We start from the raw sequence: 10,075 nt of genomic DNA on the forward strand, positions 1-10,075 counted from the left end.
GAATATCCTCATGTGAGTAATTGGAGCATAGAATAAAACATTCCAGTCATACTTTATTTTGTTTCCACAGAGAGTGGAGTATGCTTGTTCGTATCACTGTTCCAAGTCTTTGCAAAAATATGCATTTTGCTTTTTAATGTACCTAAAACTTCTGTTATCTAAATAAGAACTATCAATCAGGGGAGGAGCCAAGATGGCCGAATAGGAGCAGGTTCTACAGCTCCCAGCGTGAGCGACGCAGAAGACGGGTGATTTCTGCATTTCCATCTGAGGTACCGGGTTCATCTCACTAGGGAGTGCCAGACAGTGGGCGCAGGCCAGTGGGTGCGCGCACCATGTGCGAGCTGAAGCAGGGCCAGGCATTGCCTCACCTGGGAAGCGCAAGGGGTCAGGGAGTTCCCTTTCCGAGTCAAAGAAAGGGGTGACAGACGCACCTGGAAATCAGGTCACTCCCACCCAAATATTGCGCTTTTCAGACCGGCTTAAAAAACAGCGCATCACGAGACTATATCCCACACCTGGCTCAGAGGGTCCTACACCCACGGAATCTCACTCATTGCTAGCACAGCAGTCCGAGATCAAACTGCAAGGCAGCAGCGAGGCTGGGGGAGGGGCGCCCGCCATTGCCCAGGCTTGCTTAGGTAAACAAAGCAACCAGGAAGCTCGAACTGGGTGGAGCCCACCACAGCTCAAGGAGGCCTGCCTGCCACTGTAGGCTCCACCACTGGGGGCAGGGCACAGACAAACAAAAAGACAGCAGTAACCTCTGCAGACTTAAATGTCCCTGTCTGACAGCTTTGAAGAGAGCAGTGGTTCTCCCAGCACGCAGTTGGAGATCTGAGAACCGGCAGACTGCCTCCTCAAGTGGGTCCCTGACCCCTGACCCCCGAGCAGCCTAACTGGGAGGCACCCCCCAGCAGGGAAACACTGACATCTCACACGGCAGGGTATTCCAACAGACCTGCAGCTGAGGGTCCTGTCTGTTAGAAGGAAAATGAACAAACAGAAAGGACATCCACACCAAAAACCCATCTGTACATCACCATCATCAAAGACCAAAAGTAGATAAAACCACAAAGACGGGGAAAAAACAGAACAGAAAAAATGGAAACTCTAAAACGCAGAGCGTCTCTCCTCCTCCAAAGGAACGCAGTTCCTCACCAGCAACGGAACAAAGCTGGATGGAGAATGACTTTGACGAGCTGAGAGAAGAAGGCTTCAGACGATCAAATTACTCTGAGCTATGGGAGGACATTCAAACCAAAGGCAAAGAAGTTGAAAACTTTGAAAAAAATTTAGACGAATGTATAACTAGAATAACCAATACAGAGAAGTGCTTAAAGGAGCTGATGGAGCTGAAAACCAAGGCTCGAGAACTACGTGAAGAATGCAGAAGCCTCAGGAGCCGATGTGATCAACTGGAAGAAAGGGTATCAGCAATGGAAGATGAAATGAATGAAATGAAGCGAGAAGGGAAGTTTAGAGAAAAAAGAATAAAAAGAAATGAGCAAAGCCTCCAGGAAATATGGGACTATGTGAAAAGACCAAATGTACGTCTGATTGGTGTACCTGAAAGTGATGGGGAGAATGGAACCAAGTTGGAAAACACTCTGCAGGATATTATCCAGGAGAACTTCCCCAATCTAGCAAGGCAGGCCAACGTTCAGATTCAGGAAATACAGAGAACGCCACAAAGATACTCCTCGAGAAGAGCAACTCCAAGACACATAATTGTCAGATTCACCAAAGTTGAAATGAGGAAAAAATGTTAAGGGCAGCCAGAAAGTAAGGTCGACTTACCCTCAAAGGGAAGCCCATCAGACTAACAGCGGATCTCTCGGCAGAAACCCTACAAGCCAGAAGAGAGTGTGGGCCAATATTCAACATTCTTAAAGAAAAGAATTCTCAACCCAGAATTTCATATCCAGCCAAACTAAGCTTCATAAGTGAAGGAGAAATAAAATACTTTACAGACAAGCAAATGCTGAGAAATTTTGTCACCACCAGGCCTGCCCTAAAAGAGCTCCTGAAGGAAGCGCTAAACATGGAAAGGAACAACTGGTACCAGCCGCTGCAAAATCATGCCAAAATGTAAAGACCATCGAGACTAGGAAGAAACTGCATCAACTAACGAGCAAAATCACCAACTAACATCATGACAGGATCAAATTCACACATAAAAATATTAACTTTAAATGTCAATGGACTAAATTCTCCAATTAAAAGACACAGACTGGCAAATTGGATAAAGAGTCAAGATCCATCAGTGTGCTGTATTCAGGAAACCCATCTCACGTGCAGAGACACACATAGGCTCAAAATAAAAGGATGGAGGAAGATCTACCAAGCAAATGGAAAACAAAAAAAGGCAGGAGTTGCAATCCTAGTCTCTGAAAAAACAGACTTTAAACCAACAAAGATCAAAAGAGACAAAGAAGGCCATTACATAATGGTAAAGGGATCAATTCAACAAGAAGAGCTAACTATCCTAAATATATATGCACCCAATACAGGAGCACCCAGATTCATAAAGCAAGTCCTGAGTGACCTACAAAGAGACTTAGACTCCCACACATTAATAATGGGAGACTTTAACACCCCACTGTCAACATTAGACAGATCAACGAGACAGAAAGTCAACAAGGATACCCAGGAATTGAACTCAGCTCTGTACCAAGTGGACCTAACAGACATCTACAGAACTCTCCACCCCAATTCAACAGAATATACATTTTTTTCAGCACCACACCACACCTATTCCAAAATTGACCACATAGTTGGAAGTAAAGCTCTCCTCAGCAAATGTAAAAGAACAGAAATTATAACAAACTATCTCTCAGACCACAGTGCAATCAAACTAGAACTCAGGATTAAGAATCCCACTCAAAGCCGCTCAACTACATGGAAACTGAACAACCTGCTCCTGAATGACTACTGGGTACATAACGAAATGAAGGCAGAAATAAAGATGTTCTTTGAAACCAACAAGAACAAAGACACAACATACCAGAATCTCTGAGACGCATTCAAAGCAGTGTGTAGAGGGCAATTTATAGCACTAAATGCCCACAAGAGAAAGCAGGAAAGATCCAAAATTGACACCCTAACATCACAATTAAAAGAACTAGAAAAGCAAGAGCAAACACATTCAAAAGCTAGCAGAAGGCAAGAAATAACTAAAATCAGAGCAGAACTGAAGGAAATAGAGGCACAAAAACCCTTCAAAAAATCAATGAATCCAGGAGCTGGTTTTTTGAAAGAATCAACAAAATTGATAGACCGCTAGCAAGACTAATAAAGAAAAAAAGAGAGAAGAATCAAATAGATGCAATAAAAAATGATAAAGGGGATATCACCACCGATCCCACAGAAATACAAACTACCATCAGAGAATACTACAAACACCTCTACACAAATAAACTAGAAAATCTAGAAGAAATGGATAAATTCCTCGACACATACACTCTCCCAAGACTAAACCAGGAAGAAGTAGAATCTCTGAATAGACCAATAACAGGATCTGAAATTGTGGCAATAATCAATAGTTTACCAACCAAAAAGAGTCCAGGACCAGATGGATTCACAGCCGAATTCTACCAGAGGTACAAGGAGGAACTGGTACCATTCCTTCTGAAGCTATTCCAATCAATAGAAAAAGAGGGAATCCTCCCTAACTCATTTTATGAGGCCAGCATCATTCTGATACCAAAGCCGGGCAGAGACACAACCAAAAAAGATAATTTTAGACCAATATCCTTGATGAACATTGATGCAAAAATCCTCAATAAAATACTGGCAAACTGAATCCAGAAGCACACCAAAAAGCTTATCCACCATGATCAAGTGGGCTTCATCCCTGGGATGCAAGGTTGGTTCAATATACGCAAATCAATAAATGTAATCCAGCATATAAACAGAGCCAAAGACAAAAACCACATGACAATCTCAATAGATGCAGAAAAAGCCTTTGACAAAATTCAAAAACCCTTCATGCTAAAAACTCTCAATAAATTAGGTATTGATGGGACGTATTTCAAAATAATAAGAGCTATCTATGACAAACCCACAGCCAATATCATACTGAATGGGCAAAAACTGGAAGCATTCCCTTTGAAAACTGGCACAAGACAGGGTTGCCCTCTCTCACCACTCCTATTCAACATAGTGTTGGAAGTTCTGGCCAGGGCAATTAGGCAGGAGAAGGAAATAAAGGGTATTCAATTAGGAAAAGAGGAAGTCAAATTGTCCCTGTTTGCAGATGACATGATTGTATATCTAGAAAACCCCATTGTCTCAGCCCAAAATCTCCTTAAGCTGATAAGCAACTTCAGCAAAGTCTCAGGATACAAAATCAATGTACAAAAATCACAAGCATTCTTATACACCAACAACAGACAAACAGAGAGCCAAATCATGAGTGAACTCCCATTCACAATTGCTTCAAAGAGAATAAAATACCTAGGAATCCAACTTACAAGGGATGTGAAGGACCTCTTCAAGGAGAACTACAAACCACTGCTCAAGGAAATAAAAGAGGATACAAACAAATGGAAGAACATTCCATGCTCATGGGTAGGAAGAATCAATATCATGAAAATGACCATACTGCCCAAGGTAATTTACAGATTCAATGCCATCCCCATCAAGCTACCAATGACTTTCTTCACAGAATTGGAAAAAACTACTTTAAAGTTCATATGGAACCAAAAAAGAGCCCGCATTGCCAAGTAAATCCTAAGCCAAAAGAACAAAGCTGGAGTCATCACGCTACCTGACTTCAAACTATACTACAAGGCTACAATAACCAAAACAGCATGGTACTGGTACCAAACCAGAGTTATAAATCAATGGAACAGAATAGAGCCCTCAGAAATAACGCCGCATACCTACAACTTTCTGATCTTTGACAAACCTGAGAAAAACAAGCAATGGGGAAAGGATTCCCTATTTAATAAATGGTGCTGGGAAAACTGGCTAGCCATATGTAGGAAGCTGAAACTGGATCCCTTCCTTACACCTTATACAAAAATCAATTCAAGATTGATTAAAGATTTAAACGTTAGACCTAAAACCATAAAAACCCTAGAAGAAAACCTAGACATTACCATTCAGGACATAGGCATGGGCAAGGACTTCATGTCCAAAACACCAAAAGCAATGGCAACAGAAGCCAAAATTGACAAACGGGATCTAATTAAACTAAAGAGCTTCTGCACAGCAAAAGAAGCTACCATCAGAGTGAACAGGCAACCTACAAGATGCGAGAAAATTTTTGCAACCTACTCATCTGACAAAGGGCTAATATCCAGAATCTACAATGAACTCAAACAAATTTACAGGAAAAAAACAAACAACCCCATCAAAAAGTGGGCGAAGGACATGAACAGACACTTCTCAAAAGAAGACATTTATGTAGCCAAAAAACACATGAAAAAATGCTCATCGTCACTGGCCATCAGAGAAATGCAAATCAAAACCACTATGAGATACCATCTCACACCAGTTAGAATGGCAATCATTAAAAAGTCAGGAAACAACAGGTGCTGGAGAGGATGTGGAGAAATAGGAACACTTTGACACTGTTAGTGGGACTGTAAACTAGTTCAAGCATTGTGGAAGTCAGTGTGGCGATTCCTCAGGGATGTAGAACTAGAAATACCATTTGACCCAGCCATCCCATTACTGGGTATATACCCAAATGACTATAAATCATGCTGCTATAAAGACACATGCACACGTATGTTTATTGCGGCATTATTCACAATAGCAAAGACTTGGAACCAACCCAAATGTCCAACAATGATAGACTGGATTAAGAAAATGTGGCACATATACACCATGGAATATCTATGCAGCCATAAAAAATGATGAGTTCATGTCCTTTGTAGGGACATGGATGAAATTGGAAATCATCATTCTCAGTAAACTATCGCAAGAACAGAAAACCAAACACTGCATATTCTCACTCATAGGTGGGAACTGAACAATGAGATCACATGGACACAGGAAGGGGAATATCACACTCTGGGGACTGTGGTGGGGTGGGGGGAGGGGGGAGGGATAGCACTGGGAGATATACCTAATGCTAGATGATGAGTTAGTGGGTGCAGTGCACCAGCATGGCACATGTATACATATGTAACTAACCTGCACAATGTGCACATGTACCCTAAAACTTAAAGTATAAAAAAAAAAAAAAAAAGAACTATCAATCATTTAGACTACTGGAGATTTGCTTGATTTTCAACCTCAACACTAGGCTTTCTTTGTAGTGGTAATTTAAAAGAACAGTTTCTTTTTTAATCATTAATTTAAAAAAATATATCTTTAGTATGTAGCTCAAATTCATAGTTTTTCAAAATGATCTAATATATCCTAAAATCCTTGAAACCCTGACCATTATATCCAGAATGCCAAGGTTCTATCAGCATACCTAGCATTCCTACCAGAAATACATTTCTCTATTAATTTAATTTTCCTTTTTTTTCCTATTCAGACTACTTCATATCTCTCTCCTCAAAACCCCAACATCCCTGCTTTCTCTCATTAGTGGATAATATCACCTTTTAATTAATTGAGAAAATGAAAATAATAAGACAAGAATTCATGTTCCCAACACTAATTACTCATCTAATGACTTTCATGCAGTCACCAGCTCCTGCCTGTATCATTATTTTCTTTCTGCAGAATCACTCTCATCAGGAAGAAAGCAGCCTCCATTATTTCCCATGTTAGAAATCCTTCTTTGGACCACATATTTCTCTTCCTTTACTGGCTCATTTGTCTGTTAAGTTTCTAAACTAGTTGCAAGTACTTAGTGTACTTCTTCCCCTCCCACACTCTCCTGAACCCCAACATTCTTATCCCAGTTAACAATGACCTCCATCTTGCAAAATCAGTTAAATGTGTTTATGTGCTCATATTTCTCAAATGATTCACTGTTATATTTTCACAGTTGATTGTTACTTCTTCAAAACTTCTCTCTAGGCTTCTGGGAAATCATACTTTCCTGGTTTGTTTTCTGACATATTAAGTGTTCCTTCCCAGTCTTGTGTGTTAACTCTTTTTTTCCAACTTAAATGTTAGAATGGCCAAGAACTTGGTCTTATAGTTTTCTGTACTTACACATACTCCCTAGGTTGTGTCTTATACTTTTTCTCTTCTCTATACATATCTCACCCACTACTGTAGTTTTAAATATAATGTAAATATAGATGACTGGTAAAATCATATCTTAAGTCCCTATCTCTACACCAAGGTCCACACATATATCTAGCTGTTACTTAATGATTTTAATTTAAAATTTAAAATAGACACCTCAAGTTTAGCAGCAAAAACAAGGTTCTTTTTTACCTCCGTCTTAAGCCATTTCTTCCGTGCTTTTCCCAGTAAATGGCCCTAAGACAATATAAGAAAGAGACTTGGTCCTGGCAGACAAGAGACATGGTAACCAAAATCCCAATGGGCCTAACATGTCTGGACATATTCCCTCCCTTACCTTCTTGTCTCCCTGAAGAAACTGACCCACTTCACATAACAGAGGGTGGGGACCTTCCTAATTTAGCAGACCAGACCAAATTCCTAGCCATAAAAGGAAGAACTTAGCCATTTATCTCCTTTATTTATGTCTTCCAAGGTTGCTGAACCAGGACTCTAACATTCCTGATAAGAATCTGACCAGATACAGCTGGCTGGTGACAAGATGGACTCCTGTAGTTTTCAAAGACTTTTTCCTCATTAAAATCTCGATATAATACTAAAATCTCTTCCCAGAGTAGGGCTTACCTGCCATTTTGTGTACATGGGATGCCTGTTAGTATGTGAGGCCTCAACGTGCAGGCACAGGAAAAGCCCCACCCAGTCGTACCTGCGTTTTACGTTTTTCTGTCTCAGTTTCCTTGAAGTGACAGGAGCCAAGAGCCAAGGCACTCAGGGAGCTAGCATCAAGATCTCTTTCCTGTATGCTGTCCCTTCGTGCTATCTGAGACACAAGGATATTAAAACCTCACTGGAGAAAAACTTCTATTTGGCCTGGTGTTAATTTCTAGTTATCTAAGAGCCAAAGAAAGACCTTGAGCTCTAGGGTATGATAATAACACCCCAACCTATGCAAGTGCTCACACCAAAATCCAAGGAGTCATCTGTGATTCCTCTCTTTCCCTAAATCCCACATCCAACTCATCAGTAAGTCAAACTGGCTTCATATTGAGAGTATAACTTGCTCATTTCTCTCTGTCTGAACTCTATAGCATCTTAGTCCAGTTTACTCTTTCTCTTACTTGAACTTTGGCAATTGCCTCCTAGCTGGTATCCCTGTTTCTCCCCTTATCCATGTTCAACTCATTTTCCATTCAGCATGTCTGATAGCATAACTCTTCTTAAGACCTGCTGATACCTTGCCATTGTTTTTAAAATAAAATCTGTCTAAAAGAAACACAATTATTTCTTACATGAAACAAATGTGTATTTTTTGTGAAAGACTAGTGATTAAAGATAAAAATATGTATCTCATGCTATGTGTATGTATATGTATGTGTATGCATGTGTATACAGCACATGCATGTACAACACATCCATATACGTACATATCCATAGAAAGTGATTGGGTAATTGAAAAAAGTCAATGATCAAGTAAGAAAATTTAGTTGATCTTCTGGTAATAAGTAATCATTTTTAATCAAAAATCAGTTGAGACATATAACACAAAAGAATGCAAAACTGTAAAATTTTAAGGTAATCTGAGACTTCTATGAAATTATGTGACTGGAATTAATTATTTCAGGTTAAGTGCCCAGATTCTAGGAAAGGGACTTTCCCTTACCTCCCCCATTAAAGGGAATTAGATGGGAAATACACACACACACACACACACACGCACACACTGAACTCCTAGGCTTAAGCAGTTCTCCTGCCTCAGCCTCCAGAGTAGGTGGGGCTGCAGGCATGCACCACCACCTCCAGATCTTAATGGTTTTATTTTGAATCAACAATCAGCCCCAGATCAAGACTCTTCATGTTATACAGCAGGGGAGTGGAAAGGACACTTTAATTATATTACAAAGCTTTCAAAAGACAATAAAATTCTTTAATTACTTATTATGTGTATGACACTTATAAACTATTGTCAAATTTATCAAAACAATCAAAACTTTCAGAAATTATAAGCTGTGAGAACCATTACTCCCAAACAATCTGTGCTTTTTCTTCATAGCTATTCCTAGATCCTGGTGAGCCTAAGTCCTTTGTAATCTTCCTGAGTATGAGAATAACAGTACATTATTTAGAGTTAATAAAGAAATCTCACCTTCCCAGGCATTTCATTTTGAAATCAGGATTGCACCCCAGTGTTTGTTTCATGACCACCAAATACACCAAACACTGGAAAATATTTCTGTACTACATCTCACACTGGGCTGTGGGCCCAAGACTTCCTATCATAAATGTTTCCACTGGCCTCTATAAGAAGGAAATGACTTTAACTTAAACTTTAACTAGCAAGAAAATGTTCAGAAACTGCTTAGACTCTCTCTCTCTTATGCTGGATAAAGCAAGCAAAACCCACCACATCTCTATATGGATAAATCTCTCACCTTAAATTTTGCCATTGACTACTGAAGTAACGAGAAATGTTTCTCTTCTGACTAGCCTTCCCCATCTCAGATTCCTCATCCTCATGGGGACTGGGCCAACCCACCAGGAAGAAAAACCACTCTCACTCTTCTTGGTGCACAGAGTCATGGTGGAAGCACTGTGGGAAAGCAATCAAGACAGCAGAGTGAATTAATTTTCCACTGTCAGAATAAAGCTTCATAACTCACGGATGTGAAGAATTGACAAGGAAACCTGCAGTCACATCAGTTTGTACTCATCAGAGTCTCCTTATCCCTGGAAATAATATAAACTTCAAATCCAATCACAATCTGGCTCATTTCCTGTTGCTCAAAGAAACGTCTGTTCGCAACATTTTCATTTTAATGGCTTTAACATAAACGTCCACCTCACCATCATAAACTCATCCATTCAGATTTGGAAGATAGACTCTGTAACAATGGTGAAATAATCTAGAAGGATATTT

At 40.0% G+C, this 10,075-nt stretch overlaps 2 annotated features.

Moving 5' to 3' along the window:
* Positions 433–1,032: an enhancer, noted in NCBI's record as "H3K27ac-H3K4me1 hESC enhancer chr3:90007237-90007836 (GRCh37/hg19 assembly coordinates)". NCBI's record gives its function as "activates a minimal SCP1, AML or CMV promoter by ChIP-STARR-seq in naive and primed H9 embryonic stem cells {active_cell/tissue: H9 hESC(naive and primed)}" and the evidence as "EXISTENCE:reporter gene assay evidence [ECO:0000049][PMID:30033119]".
* Positions 6,980–8,179: an enhancer, noted in NCBI's record as "MED14-independent group 3 enhancer chr3:90013784-90014983 (GRCh37/hg19 assembly coordinates)". NCBI's record gives its function as "activates an origin of replication core promoter dependent on BRD2, BRD4, P300/CBP and CDK7 cofactors, and independent of MED14, by STARR-seq in HCT116 cells {active_cell/tissue: HCT116}" and the evidence as "EXISTENCE:reporter gene assay evidence [ECO:0000049][PMID:35650434]".

The sequence above is a fragment of the Homo sapiens genome, chromosome 3 (assembly GCF_000001405.40).
Source record: "Homo sapiens chromosome 3, GRCh38.p14 Primary Assembly".
Classification (NCBI taxonomy): Eukaryota; Metazoa; Chordata; class Mammalia; order Primates; family Hominidae; genus Homo; species Homo sapiens.